Source organism: Homo sapiens, chromosome 12 (genome assembly GCF_000001405.40).
Source record: "Homo sapiens chromosome 12, GRCh38.p14 Primary Assembly".
Lineage (NCBI taxonomy): Eukaryota > Metazoa > Chordata > Mammalia > Primates > Hominidae > Homo > Homo sapiens.
In genome coordinates, this window is record NC_000012.12 from 39,343,049 (window position 1) to 39,358,380 (window position 15,332).

Here is a 15,332-nt window from a genome sequence, read left to right on the forward strand (position 1 = left end):
TTTAAATGAATCTATATATGAACTATTTCCTTTTGTGCTATAGTAGCATTTTAAAATCATTAAAAAGCCCTTTGAGAGGCTGAGGCGGGCAGATCACGAGGTCAGGCATTTGAGTCCAGCCTGGCCAACATAGTGAAACCCCGTCTCTACTAAAAATACAAAACAGCCTGGCATAGTGACGCACACTTGTAATCCCAGCTACTAAGGAGGCTGGGGCAGGAGAATCGCTTGAACCCGGGAGGTAGAGGTTGCAGTAAGGCAAGATTGCGCCACTGCACTCTAGCCCGGGCAACAGAGCGAGACTCTGTCTCAAAAATAAATTAATTAATTAATTACAATAAATTTAAAAAATAAATAAATAGAATACTCAAATAATGCAATATTCTAAAAGTAAAATTCCTCTACAAAAAAAACTTTACAACTTTATCAGAATAGCTTAATAACAGCTATCATGTTTTCATATATTCTTCTATATTAAATAATTTCCCTAATACATGGATTGATTTTTAGCTTCTAGGCTAAAAACTTAATCTCATTTAGGCCCTATTATAGCTATAACTTTAATGATTAACTCTAGGTTTCTATTCTCAGAGATATTTTTCTACTGAGCACTATGAATATAAATACTTTTCCCTTGTAAGGACTTTTCAGAGTTTGTCATTTATGTTTATGTTATTATTTATTTAGTGTCTGTATTTCTCACTAGGCAGTCAGCTTCCTAAGGGAAGGGATCGTGTCTGTTTGCCTCCGCATTACATCCCTAGTACCCAGGTCCTGGCACATAATGAATGTGAAGTAAGTGTTTGTTAAATAAACCAATCCCTGTGACTATGCATGAGCACCTCTGTTTGAACATGCCTATGTGTCTCATGCACTAGCTCGGTTGGAGCAGAATGGTACAGTTTCAAAGATGCATAAAGATGCATGAGAGACAGCATATATACGGAGAGAGAAGAAAGTACAAGTAGGAGTACCAATACAACAGTCTTAACTGGAAATGAATGAAGTAAATTGTAACAGGGTTCCATGAGTGTTGTTAAATCATTTGGATGGAGAAAAATGTGCTTGAAGAAAAGTAGGAACCACCTAGAAAGAACTCTTATGATAAACAAGAAATAATTTTATGTGATATACTGAATGTCTCTCTTAGGTTGCTTATAATATACTAGGACTGCTGATTTTCCACCATCATGCAGTTCAAGATGAAAATCTAGAAAGAAATTCCCCTTTCATCCAATCATCAATTAAAAGGCCAGCAGCATGTACTCAAACAGTGCTATACTTGAGGTTTAGGTCTAAGGTGTAGGGCTAGGAAAGGACAATTTGTAGGGAGACATCTCCCAGCAGGCTTTCCAGTTCCCTCTCCTGGGCAGTCTCCCTTTCTCACCTGTGACTGCTACAGAATACAGTTTTCATTATTCTCTGTTCTTGTATTACTTCAAGTTCCAATCAAATCACATTATACTTAAGTTTACAGCCATACAACCACCTTATTCCAAACATTTGACCCAACATATCGTTCTACTCCCCGCTCCAACTCACTGATATCCAGTTAAATGTTCTTTCACTTCTACATTAACTCATATATTATAAGTCATTCGTGCCACTTCTGATGTGGAAAAATCAGCAGTCATAACTTTACATTATTAATTTAAAGGCTTAAACTTTTAAAATACAAGTTGATAGTTATAATTTTTATACCTCAAATATTGAAGTTTTCCTCAGTAAACCGAGGCAAATTGATATCTAAAATAAGTATCTAAGTAGCAATGGAAGATATTTAAATTTGTGCTTTATATAGAATCAGAAGCTTGGGAGCTGGAAGGAACATTAGCAATTAACCCCTTCATTTGACAAACAAAAAGGGAACTGTGGCCTGGAGAAGTGAATCCCCTCAAGAGAACTAAAACCAGTTATCCTGACTCCCAGAACATCTCAAAGTTCAGCTCACAGACTGGAAGCATCTGCACCACCTGGGAGCTTATTACTTATGCAGAATCTCAGGCTCCACCTCAGTCCTACTGAATCAGAATCTGCATTTTATCAAAATCCCTAGGAGATCTGTACACACGACTATGTTTGAGAAGTTGTTCTGTAACCACCCAACCACTCTGCTTTTGCTGTCCTTCAGGGATCATGTAAAGATGGGAGTAAACTCCTTTCACTGAGAACATTTAAAGGACTTGAATATTTTATGGTGATTAAATGCTTCCACACACAACTTTAATGACGCATCTTATTTTTACCTTTCAGAATAGAAGAAATTTCACAATTTTAATGCCTTAACTTAATTCCAATAATAAACATGTTGTCCTAAATATGTATTGCTTAGGTGAGTTATAGTATGACCAATAAAAAATTAAAATTATAGCCTAAGTACTTTAAAGAACCTATGGGCTTATGGCATGTAAGTATAAAAACTTTAGAATACTATATAACATACTAAATATAATTATAAAATAAAAATTATAAGGTAATTTAAAGAAAAACATTTTAAGCTTTAAGATATTTAAAGTAAGATATTCATTTAACTAATTGCATAGTATAAGTTCTCAAGTTCTTAAGTAAAAGATGAATGTCTAAAGTAGGGCTTCCAAAATAGTTAAATATTACCTTGAAACTAGTATATTTTCTTAATCATTTTGACTATGTAATCTAGAGATTTGTTTAGGAAAATCTATGAAGAAAACTTCTGATAAGAAGGAAAATACCACTTATCTTTGGTTAAATAATCATAATTCTGAATCAGTAAAATGCAATCAAGAATATTATTCTAAATTTTGCTCGTTTCAAATGAAAAAAAAGCAACTATCCTGTTTTTGATGTCCACTTCAAATACATTTTAAAAGCAAAAATTGTTTTTCTATTTCAACCTTAAGAATGTCTTATAAATCTTATTTGTAATAAGGCCACAGTTTCCTTTTGTTTGTTGTCATTTTAATGATTTTTTTTTCCAGTAAAGATTATACCAAATAAAGAAGAGAGAGACAGAGGCCCACCCATGATTCAGCATGTGCTACAACAAAATGTCAATTTCCACTCTGCTCACAAGTTTCTGTAAGACAAAGAATTACTGTTGTTTTTTCTTTTTTTAATAAATCAAATGGCAGGGGTTTTAGGGTTATTTTTATCCTACAAAAGGTAAGTCATCATCATAATTATCATAGTTTATTCTGTAATCACATGAAACTGCCTGAATTTTAATTCAAGTATCTAGTGAAGATTTTATTCTTAAAAAGTATTTTCTTAAAAATTTATTACAGTGTTCTTGTTAGTTTTATAAAATCAGCATTACTTTTAGGAGCAGCCCAGCTTATCTAGTCTGAAACAATCTATAATACTATAACACATTTCCTTGTGAATGGCAACTAAGTATTTAAACGACATTTTAATAAAAAACCTGGGAAATATTCCAACCTTCTTTCTTCTCGATTGCTTTCCTCAAGTTTCTGTAGCCTTCAAAATCACGAGGCACAGTATTGGAAGGCCAAGCCAATGAAGGACAAACCAGACAGTAAAAAGCGAAAGTGATAAGAAGGTAAAAATGATACATGAGCTTGAAGACTTTAAAATAAATTTTAAAAGATATCATCAAAGGACAATACACAGTAAAAAGGCAATACATTTGTATGAATAAAAAGTAAGTAGAAAATCAAGCAGCAATATATCTAAGAAGAGTATATAGACTATCAGTTGAAATTATGCAGCAGCAAAATGTATAGTCTCAATTTATAAAAGTTGATAAGGATTAGGCATGCTTGGATGCCTTTTTTTTAGTCTGAAGTGGGTCAATTTACTCAGCTTCCCCCAAAAAAGACCACTTTCAATAATATTCTCTTTCAAGCCTTTACAGAAGACCTTTTAATGGCATCATTAAAAGAATTTCACAAAGTAATGCCTTTATACCATAATATGAAAATACCACTAATACTACATTCTAGGATACTACTTTTAAAAACATACTTTCTGTTTTAATATACTACATATGAATATCAATAAATCTAAAAAAAATCTGATTTCAAAGTTATACATGAAATGGTATTGCAGGCAAATGAATATGGTTGTTATGATATCTGTGAAAAACTGTAATTTTATTAATTGAAAATAAAATTTCACACTGGGATTAAAGAGTTTACTAATTATTATAAACTAACTACTGAAAGGGCATATCTATAAAGCAACAGTGGCAAAAAAAAAAGGGGGGTGGGGAGAAAAGTAGTACTTTCCATTAGTAAGATTGTTTTTTAAGAAACATATAAGAAATATCATGTGTAAAGGGTTTTAAAGATAAAGAATATTCAATATTAAAACTTGGGGATCTTTACTCAATGGAATGTACTGTATACCAGTATTTGTCATGTAGACAAAAAGACAGATGTGCTAGGCTCTGATTAAGCATATGGCAACTTTGATATAGAACACTTCCACCCAGAATATTTTTCAGAATTATCAATATTTTAAAATGAAGAGATTGAATCAGAGGTATGAGTTATTTTATCAAGCCAGTTCTTTTCATTTTAATTTCATAATGTAAGTGCTCCCATGTGATTCTTATTTATTGGTCTGTGATTGTTTTCACATCAACTTATATGCCGCCATTATAAGACGAGACTAGCAATCTTTCTGAGAAAAAGTCTACAAATATATACCAGTAATCAAATGGTCCAGTATAGTGATTAGAAAAAGCAAAGTAAAGCCACTGCCTAAGAAATCTGTGTGTTTCTAGAGTTTCAACCCAACACCACTAAATACAAATCAGTGCAGTCTGATCGATGAGTGAAGTTTTTTATGTTGCAAGTCATTTAAAGCTAGATATCCAAAAATATGGGATTTAATGTGTGAATGGTAAATTTTCCTCGTCCACATACACAAAAAATGCAAAAAACTTTTATGTCTACTCTACGCCTATACTAATGATAACGAGCTACAATGGCTCAGAGAATGTGATTCCCTCATGAAGAACCCAGATTTTCTATTTTCAATATAGAGACTTTTGTTAGCTTATACAAGAAAGCTATATTAAAATATACAGTTGACATGAGCTAGCAAGTACATAAACTTTACATGCCTCCTAAATTGCCTTTTTAAAAACCATTCCAATCAATAGTTCAAAAAGACAATGAAGGGACAGAGAAATAAATGAATAATCTAACACCTCTCCATAACTTAAAGGAAAACTTTAGTTTTTACTTCACTTAGTTCCCCTACAATGCTTCTTCTACAGTTAAAGAGAATGACAATTCTTGCCAACCATTCTAACATTTGTGTAACTGAAAGATATGCCACATAGTTTAATTGTTATTTTCTTACTATCTACACCTCTGGATTATTCTACAGATCAACAGAAAATAAGCACAAAAAGGTAGAAGAGCAAACCTTAAAACCTCACATATTAGCTATTAGTTATAGTTCTGATACAGACTGACGCAGAAGAAGGTGAAACTTTCAAACAGCATTTGTGGCATCCTCCTTAAACACAAACGCAGCTTCTGGAAAATGATCCAGTTACCACTCTTCCTATCAACTCTTACATTGTCAGAGGCCCTATAGCCACTCCAACCAAAAATCTACAACACAAAACAATAAATTAAAAGACACAGAGCTTCCAAAGAATTTGTGAATTCAGTGACAAGGAAAGGAGGCAGCTGTAGAAGCCAGGACAGCTTAGAAGAGCTGAATCCAAAGGTCAAACAAGCCCCAGACAGGTTTTAGAAACTCACAGCCACAACAAGATAAAAAAAAAAACCAAACAAACAAACAGAAAAAAAACCTTTTCTACTCTTTTTTTCATTAGATTATGCTGCCTAACATATTTTGTTGTATGGATTAATGTACTCTCTTTAAAAATTCCAAATACCCCTACAAAGGAAGCTTGTTGGTTATCAGACATTTCCACTGGTATGAATTCCTTTAGTCAAATGGCTTTGTTCCTGAGTTTGAATTTAAGGAGATCAGAGAAAAAAATAGATAATTTTGAAATTGGGAGTACTTCAGGGTAGGGCAGAATTACGTGAGAACTGGACCACATAAGGGAGGAACGGATCAAGGTAGCATGGGGACACAGGAAGGTCAGTAAGAACGAATGGCTAAAGCAGAAATTCCCATTTTTCCCCCAAAGATTGGCCTACACCCATGAGAGGGAAAGAAGGTTCTTTCCCCTGTCTTGCCTTTTCTTGCTCCCTTCTGAATTATTCTTACCATATTATAAAATGGGCAGAAATCATTTTATGTGAGTGAGCTGAGAAATTTGGACATCATGTATTTACAATACTTGCTAGAGAAAAATCAGTCCAAAGTTTCAATTAATTTTTAATTGAACCTCTTGTATGTGTAAGGTTGAGGTAGACCCACATTTTGCAATGCCCTCTCTGACAAATAAAATAGATAAACATGAAGCATGGAATGTAACTCAACCAGAATCAATGCATCCAAACAGGAGCTATCACTTCCAAGGAGCTCCTGTGGAAAACTGAGCACTTTAGTAAAGCTGCTATCCTTCCAAACATTTCTGGAACTCTAGGTTTATTGTATGCTGGTTCTTTACTAACTTGTAGGGACTCCTTTGGCTAAATGAGGGCTTACCTACATTTTAAAAATAGAAATTGGCATTACATACAGTTAAAAGTTATTGGGATCCAAGTGTGATGAACAAAGTGCTTTATCAAACTAAGTAAAACAGGATTGGTTTTCATTTTTTAATTCAAAAAAACATTTGATTATAGTGTGGTAAGACATATTCCATTAAATACTATAAATTTTTATATGTAGCAATAAAAATTTATAAATTGGCTCTAAAAATGTTTACAGTTATATGGTATAGTACACAAGAAAAATTTTTTAGATTCACAAATTATATAGGTGTCAGTTTTACAAAATTATATAGGTGTCAGTGTACGAAGGTACACTACAGCATGTGTGAAAATGCTCTTAAAAATGTTTGTATATAGCACTCTATAGGTGTATTAATTTTTAGAAAGTATTAATTTGTTTTTCTCATTCTAAGCTATCTTTCATTTCTTATCTGGCTCACTCACAAATATTTTATCTCTAATTATGTGTCTTTTTGTTAGGAAATAAATTATTTTCTTCACTTAGGCTTTTATGTTTAAATCCAGTTGTTTGATGAGTTCTTATTAGTATTAACATCTATTATTTTTATTGTAATAATTATTACAACTACATAATCACTGAATTAGTCACAACCGCTATTAAAATGTTAAAAACAGCCTAGATTTCTATTGGGATCCTTATTTATTTTTCATTAGTCATATTCAACAGGTGATTAAGGAAATATCTCTAAATTTACCTCAAAAGGAAAAAGCAGTATCAGTTGTGACCTTAAAAAATAAACTTTGCTTATACTTACTTATTATTTATGAATACAAATGACCTAGACCTTTAAAAACAAGTCATACCATTTGACATTTTGACCAACTACAGAAGTGGATTTTACAAGTTAAGTGATAAGTCATGTGCAAAAGTCTTATGTTAATTCAAGCAGTAAACTGGGTAACACTACTTTCGATAATCCTATGATCATTATTTCAGTTTCAATTGCCCTCCATAAGGGAAGAGCTAATCATTATACATTTCTTAATGCTGCCATAATCAATGATCCATGAAAACATCTAAGACATTAATATCTCAAGAGTGCAATTTCAATTGCAATGCCTACTAACCATAATGTATAATTCCTTGCTTTAATTATTCTTTTTAAACTCAGGAACACAAAGCAGAATTGGAAGAATTTAAACTTCCAATGACTTTGATCAACTGGCTGCTCCAGGAAGAAATGCCTGGCTACCTAAATACATTTTTAAATAAACTGAGCAAAGCAGCAGGTAGGCTAAACGTCTACATCAATTCTACAAAGCATTCCTCCTGTAACAAACCAGGTGGCAAATAAGATGATTTTGCTTCCTTTTGAATATCTAGCCAAAAATGTTTAAATTTAATTTGACTGGCATGCTCAAAATATAGTCTCTGTAAGCAATCTGACTGCACCATAGAATCAGTGTGTAAACATGTAAAGAATTTATGAGAATTTAACCACTTACACATTACAAGTGGTTAAATTTTCATTTTCTTCCTCTCCTTTGCACCCGGTTGATTTCAGAGGGACATAGTATCAGGATGCAAAGAAGAGAAAGCCCAGAACAGTGGTGAAAAGCTGAGTAACTCCTTGTTGGAAGATTCAAAAAGCCTGAAATAGCATAAATAATTTTCACATAATCAAATTAGAAGCCCTGCAGAAAATATTTAAGAGACCAAATGACATTACATGACATTCTGATGGATTAGTTTAGCCTTTAGTTAAACTAATCTAGACAGGGATGAAAATATCCATGAGACTATTTAATTGCATTAGGAAATGGGGAAAAAATGAAAACACTGAGTTGTAATGGTACAGCAAGCTTTGCTGAAAAGCAAAATGAATGGAATGCAAAAGCAGCTATTTGAAGAAATAATAAAATAATTTATAATAGTAATTTTATATTGTCATGTTCTAAATAAAATTCATTACCATGTTATTACAATTAAATCTATTTTTCTTACATATAAGTAGAGATAAACCATTAAAAACTAGATAGTTGTAGTTTCAGCTAACATAGTGATTTATTTCATATACTAAGGTACTCATGAGACTATGTATGCTCTTTATAATTGCAAATTAAAATACCCTGAAAAGGAAATAGAGATTCATTTAGTGGTGATTTTATAATCCCACCTTTTTTTCTTCCTCTTTTCTTTTCTTTTCAACTTCTCTAAATCTTTTTTTGCTAGGTCTATAATTTCAATGGTTTCTTTGTCTGAGGATAGTATGGTAGGAGAAAAAGTTGATGATCCGCTGAAATATGGCGCTCTTGCTGTGGCTCTTGTCAAGTTTTTTCGAAGGTTCTCATTCACTGCTTCACTTTCTAATAATTTTGCCCTAGCAAATAAAAATATATTTAAATAGGGAGCATTTTTCTCTGTGGATAAAAATACATAACATAAAGTGTACCACACTACCATTTCTTAAGTGTACAGCTCTGTAGCACTAAGCAAATCTATATTGTTCTGCAACCGTCACCACCATCCATCTCCAGAAATTTTTTATCTTCCCATACTGAGACTCTATACCCATGAAATATTAACTTCCCCTCAGCCCCTCTACCTCAGCTCTGGCATCCATCATTCTACTTTCTGTCTCTATGAATCTGACTGCTCTAGCAATAAGGCAGGAACATTTTAAATGAGTTAGTCTTCATGCTAAAAAGTTTTCCAAAATGCATTTCAACATGGCTACAAGATAAGGATTTTTAAACTAAATAAAATTCTCACAAAATAATAAAAATAATCATAAAAGAATGCTCACACACATTAACATTTAACAATTTTTTCATATTTCCTGATTGAATAATTATATATTTGTAATCATAATCTTAATACTCAAAAGAATTCTACATATTCAGATGCCAGTGGTAATTAGATTACTTGAATTCTGGCCAGCGGACATCAGTTGTCCTTGCTTGTAAACCTATTATTTAAACTTAAAAAATACACAAGCAGCATGCTCCCCTTAGTTTCAGTTCCTCATTCATCACACAATAGTAGCATTTCCAAAACTGTGCAAGGAATAATTTGTCAAATCTGCCCCAAACTGGCTGACGGACATCTGGCTCCTGAATATAGCGTGGGAAAAGACAGTATCTCCAAGGAAACTTGAGTTTGATAATTGAAAAAATTCTTTTGTTTGCTCAAGCAGTCCTAATAATGACAGGAGAATAACATACACACTGATCCTCACACATGAAGACATCAAACAATGAAATCCTAAAAGAGCCTAGACTATTGAGACTAAAAGGATTCAGAGAGTCCTCTAGGCCAATTCCCTTATTTCTACTTGATTTAAACCATCAAAAATACAATTATCTACTTACATATAATAGATTTTCAAGGTTAGTTTGGCACAACAGTGATTGAGACTGAAAAATAAGAAGAAAACACAACCTATCTCTCTCTCAACACTATATTACTAAGCACCTTTGCCATATGTTCAAATATTTCAGAGAAAGATGCTAGATTATTTGCAACACTAAGCTCTGGAAGGCACAGTCAGCTCAGTGCTTTTCCATTGCCTACCAAAATTATTCATTCTACTCTTGAAATAGTTGAGACAGATGGGGTCTCACTATATTGCCCAGGCTCGTCTCAAGCTCCCAGCCTCAAGTGATCCTCCCACCTCAGCCTCCCAAAGTGTTGGGATTACAGGAATGAGCCACCCCACCTGGTCCTACACATTCTTTAATGAAATTGTTTTATTATATATGTGATACCATATGCGAGCAGAACAATTACAGTGTTTTTAGATGGTTAAATAGCTGTGTGCAAACTTCTAGGTTAATTAAATGACTTCAAAAATGTTTTAGAGAAAATTCATATAAAAACTCAAAGTTAAAATTCATGATTATCAAACAACAGAAAAGTACAAATAATATATTATACTTTTCTATATTTTTAATTTCTAGCACAAAGCCTAGGTACCTAATAATGAATGCTAAGAATGCATGAAAATATAATAAATCAGCTAACCATAATGATCTATATTTTAATTGTCTCCTTTATTATTATGTAATAAATAATGTAGGTATTTTATTTTAAAATTTGTTTTTTACATAATGTTAAAAGTCTGCATTTGGTAGGGGCATATCCAATGAGTCTTTGATCTAGTGCTGACAAAGGCCTTTTAGGGATTACCTCCACAAACTCCACATTAACAGAATCTACTTTTTGTATGGCCTACAGGGAGAACATCTCTCTTTCCCCATCTCTTTCTCTCTCTCTCTTCCCGTTCACTCACCCACCCACTTGGTACTTCCTGCATTTCATTTAATAGAGACTAAAGAGTGAGGTATGAGGGCAAGTGTACAAACTTCTTTGGGAAGGAGCACACTGAGGGCTTGCATGCCAGCTGTCATTCATTGGATCTTGGACCATCAAGTCTCTAAAAGGCCCCACTCTTCCCTTTGTAAAACTGAGATTAAAAATATATACTTCCCTAGGATTGTTTTGAGAATCAATGATAAAATGAATTTAAAAGTCCCCCAACTAACATGATATTTAAAAAATAGTAAGTATTCTTATCATAAAGTTGGAAATAATATAATCATTAACAGCACAGAGTTAAATAAGTGAATTACAACAGGACAGTACTATATGAAGCCATGCAAAAATCATTGTAGAAACTTTTTAACATTGAAAAATGTTCATAATATATTACCGCTTTTCAAAGAATAGATAGCAAAACAAAATATACAGTCTGGTGTCATTTACGTTAAAGTATTCATTGGAAAAATATTGAAGAGATAGATCAAAATGTTAACATCAGTTCTTAGAATAATGGGAATACACATGATTTTAATTTTCTCTTACATTTTCCTATATTTTCAAAATGTTCTGCAAAATTTTTCATGCCCCAAAAAACACAAGGATTAATTAATTAGTGATTATTATTATCTCACAAGTAATGTGACATGTAAATTTATTAAAAGGTAACTACTATTCATTTACAATAAAATGATAAGATGAAATAGAAATATTCCCAAATGGCAATAAACAAACATAAATTTGCATTAAGTTTAAAGAGCTGTGAATAAATGTCTTCCTAAGATCTAATTTTGACAGAAATATAGGTTGAAGTCGGGTTTAGCAGGTAAAAACAGAACTTGAGAATTTGGACCTAAATATTCGTAACACTTTATACCTTTATGATACCTTTATATTTAAGAACGTATATATACTATTATTTTATTTGAGCCCCATAATAACTCTCTGAGATTAGCAGGTATTATCTCATTCTTACAGATGAATAAACTAAAACTCAGAGATGTTAGGTAACTTGCCCAAGGTCGTACACCTTATTGATAAATAGAAGCTTAAATTTCAATCCAGGTAATCCAATTTGAATTCAAGGTTCATTTATGCTTATCCCATATGTAAATTATAATCCTGGCCTTCTAGAAGGCTACTCCCCAGGGGTGGGACACACCTAATTAAAGAGCCATCAGAGACAAGTTGAGAATCTGGAACAAGGTATTAACCTACACCAGGAAAGATATGATCAGCAACTGAACTCAGAGCCCATGAGTCATCTCTGTTCTCTAAATGGCTTAAGGAAGGAATAGTCTTAACTCAAGACTTTGAAGAAGGAAGACATTAGATGCTGCTTTTAGCCACCAGAAGGAGTGGAAGTGATTCTGGTAGTTTTCTAGGAAATAAGCACTAGTCAAGCAATTTGCCTAATAGTGACATAAAGCTGAGGTACAAACTTAGAATACAGAGTGGAGGAAAGGAAAGAGAGCATAAGAACTCATATAGGCAATTGGCCTTAACAATTGGCAAGTGCCAAAGAAATAAAAGAGAAAAGAGACGCAGCCTAAGAGCAGAAAGAGAAACTTCAAGAATTAAAAAAACAGAGCTATCAGTTGTGTCTCAAGGAGTGGTAAAGATGGGGTCAACGAAATCAGGAAAGACTGGTCAAAGAACAAATTTTTAGCAGTAGGCAGGGAACAGTACTCTCAACACGGGGTAGAAACTGCAAGTCCAGGTTGGTTGCTGAGCAGAACCAGGATGCAGTGCCTCAAAGGTCTCTACCAAAAACATGAAGCATGAACAATTATATATATATATATATATATATATATGTTATATGCATAACATTTATAATATATATGTACACACACACATACACAGAATAAAATTATACTTGAATAACTATATTGCCACATCGGGATGTGTTTTCATTTGTTTTTGCTTTTTGAAACATTTAAGAGATCCAGTGTGCCTTATGGAGCCAGAAACAGTGGAGATAGTACTTGCCACAGTTTGAGAACCTCTAGAATAGCCAGAGGAAGAGAAAGAGAACACAAATACAAGACAGGGTAACTGTGAAAGATGATCTCCTCCCGTTTGCTTATGTTCTGCAAATGGTAAGCAGAAGTGAGATTTGAACTACTTAGATGCTCCCCCATGGAGCTGACTGGGGTTTTCCTTCAAGAAAAAAATAGCTCAGTCATCACGGGAAACCGTGGAACCTGAAAATATTATTGACTTAATCTTCTTTCCCAACCCTATTCCCCAAGTCTAGTCCCCTCCACATTCCTACACCAGCATGGGCATCATTTAACTAAATTTTGTCATTCTGTTTACTACATGTGATGATTTATGTATGCTGCCCAACCTAGAGTGTGAACTCTTCATGTCATGCTTGCCCCCAGCCCCAGTCATGGTATTGACATATGCAAGTATGTGTGGCATGTTGTATGAAATGTGAATGGATGTACCACAGAGGGGCAGGCAAATTAGTAGGTATGCCATGATTTACATGTAAGAATAGCTGAAGATATAAAAGAGAACAGGAGATTCAAAAAATTGGAGATGATGTGTAGATATTGATCTATTCCCAACTGATGGGGGAAGAGGCATACGAAGGAAAGGCATCAAAGATAACTTCAGCAACATAAACTTTGCCTGTTTTATATGTCAAGTTAGGTAAGCACCCAATATTGGGACATAGCAGTAAGAGTAGGAGAATAATATGGGAAGAGAAAGGAGGAAAACAGCTTGGAATATGACATCAAGGGAAAGGTAAGTAAAGAATCTCCTAAAGTTAACCTAACCAAAGGGCTGAAATATCACCATGGACAACTGTTGAACACTAAGCCCAACAAACAGAAATATTATAACATTGCAAAATCCAAAACAAACATGTGCATTATATGTTACAGAACATGAACTATACCTGAGATCTTCGATTTCTTTTATATAACTATGAATCATATTACTAATCTCCTCATTTCCTTCACCTGAAAGACAAAATATGAAATAAAAATTTTCCTTTAAATTAAGACTTCAACAAAACAGGAGAAAAAAAAAGTCGGGAAACAAAACAATAATTTTTTAAAACACAATTCTTACAGCAAATTTTCTACCCTTTATTACATGAGCAGACCACAAGATAATATGATTACAAAGGGAATATTTTGTTTATATAAGAATTTATTATTTTTTGAAATTAGGTATTTAACTTAAAACCACAGACTGTATACACAGAGACTGGCATTTCTATTTCAACTATGCTAGGTAATTAGTGAACACAAAGAATGTTCCCTGCCCTCCAGAAGTTAATCCCTCACTTATCCCACCCTACCCACATACCTGCTCTGGCAAGAACATGGTTGGCCTGATCACTAACAAGCTGTGTAATTCTGGACCTCAATGCATCAACCGTCTCTTGCATGGCTTTAATTCTTACACGCAGGTTATTATTTTCAGTCTGTAGCATAGCATTCTCATGAAACATGTCATTGATGCTTTCCACACCCTCTTCGTCAATTATTCTTTTACCCTAGTAAAGGAAAATAATGTCCTTGTTGGTTGAGGAGCCTTAAAAACACAAGAGTTTTGCTTAAGAATACTCTATAACTATACAATTCTCTAACCAAGAGCGTTTTCATCTTACCAACCCCAAGGCAAAAGAAATCCTTTCACCTCTAGTAGAACACTCCACAATGCATTTGTTACTAAAGAAATTGATTAGCCAGGTGCAGTGGCTGATACCTGTAATCCCAGCACTTTGGGAGGCCAAAGTGGGCAGATCACGTGAGGTCAGGAGTTCAAGACCAGCCTGGCCAACGTGGTGAAACCCCATCTCTACTAAAAATGCAAAAATCAGCCAGGTGTGGTGGCGGGTGCCTATAATCCCAGCTACTCAAGAGGCTGAGACAGGAGAATCATTTAACCCGGGAGGCGGAAGTTGCAGTGAGCCGAGATCACGCCACTGCACTCCAGCGTGGGTGATAGAGGGAGACTCCATCTCAAAAAAAAAAAAAAAAAAAAAAAAAAAAAAAAAAAAAAAAAAAAAAAATTGGGTAGGAAAGCTTTTGAACAAACAGTTGTTAAGTTAGACTGAACATAGTTAAAGACTGTCCACAAGGAAAACTAGAGACTCTTACCTCCAAAAGGAAGGAGGACACTATTATGACAACCAAGAGATTCCAGAAACACGTATGTGTAAGGCATTATTGTGTTCAGAAAGTGCCAGCCTTAGATGTATCACAAAATGCAAAGTCAAACTCATTAGCTTACTGTTTTGTACTCCATGAGCTCCATCTGAAGTCGTGTGATTTCACTACGAAGTGCATTGATTTGCTGACTAGCTCTGTCCTGATTGACCATCACCTTATTCTTGATATTTCTAGCTCGATTGGCGTATTTCAGGGTGTTTAACGTTTCCATAAAGTCTCTGTCTGAAGGGCTGACACATGCTATCATGATTGTTTGGCTGAAAG

The 15,332-nt window shown here is 33.9% G+C and overlaps 1 protein-coding gene across 33 annotated transcripts in view, besides 1 other annotated feature; it reads right to left on the reverse strand.

Annotated features, from left to right (window-relative positions):
• Positions 1 to 15,332, reverse strand: part of KIF21A (kinesin family member 21A) — a 149,893-nt gene that overhangs the window by 49,821 nt on the left and 84,740 nt on the right. For 18 of the 33 annotated variants that reach the window (XM_047429132.1, XM_047429125.1, XM_047429130.1 and 15 more), the window contains exons 8-12: positions 15,130 to 15,325; positions 14,200 to 14,389; positions 13,784 to 13,847; positions 8,729 to 8,932; positions 3,418 to 3,456 (exon numbers count right to left, since the gene is read on the reverse strand). In XM_047429132.1, coding sequence (XP_047285088.1) covers positions 3,418 to 3,456; positions 8,729 to 8,932; positions 13,784 to 13,847; positions 14,200 to 14,389; positions 15,130 to 15,325 — 693 coding nt within the window. The remainder of the gene's footprint in view (positions 1 to 3,417; positions 3,457 to 8,728; positions 8,933 to 13,783; positions 13,848 to 14,199; positions 14,390 to 15,129; positions 15,326 to 15,332) is intronic. The other 15 variants (XM_047429133.1, XM_047429128.1, XM_047429123.1 and 12 more) reach the window with 1 other exon arrangement.
• Positions 13,076 to 13,195: an enhancer, noted in NCBI's record as "active region_6197". NCBI's record gives its function as "activates an Ori minimal core promoter by ATAC-STARR-seq in GM12878 lymphoblastoid cells {active_cell/tissue: GM12878}" and the evidence as "EXISTENCE:reporter gene assay evidence [ECO:0000049][PMID:35858748]".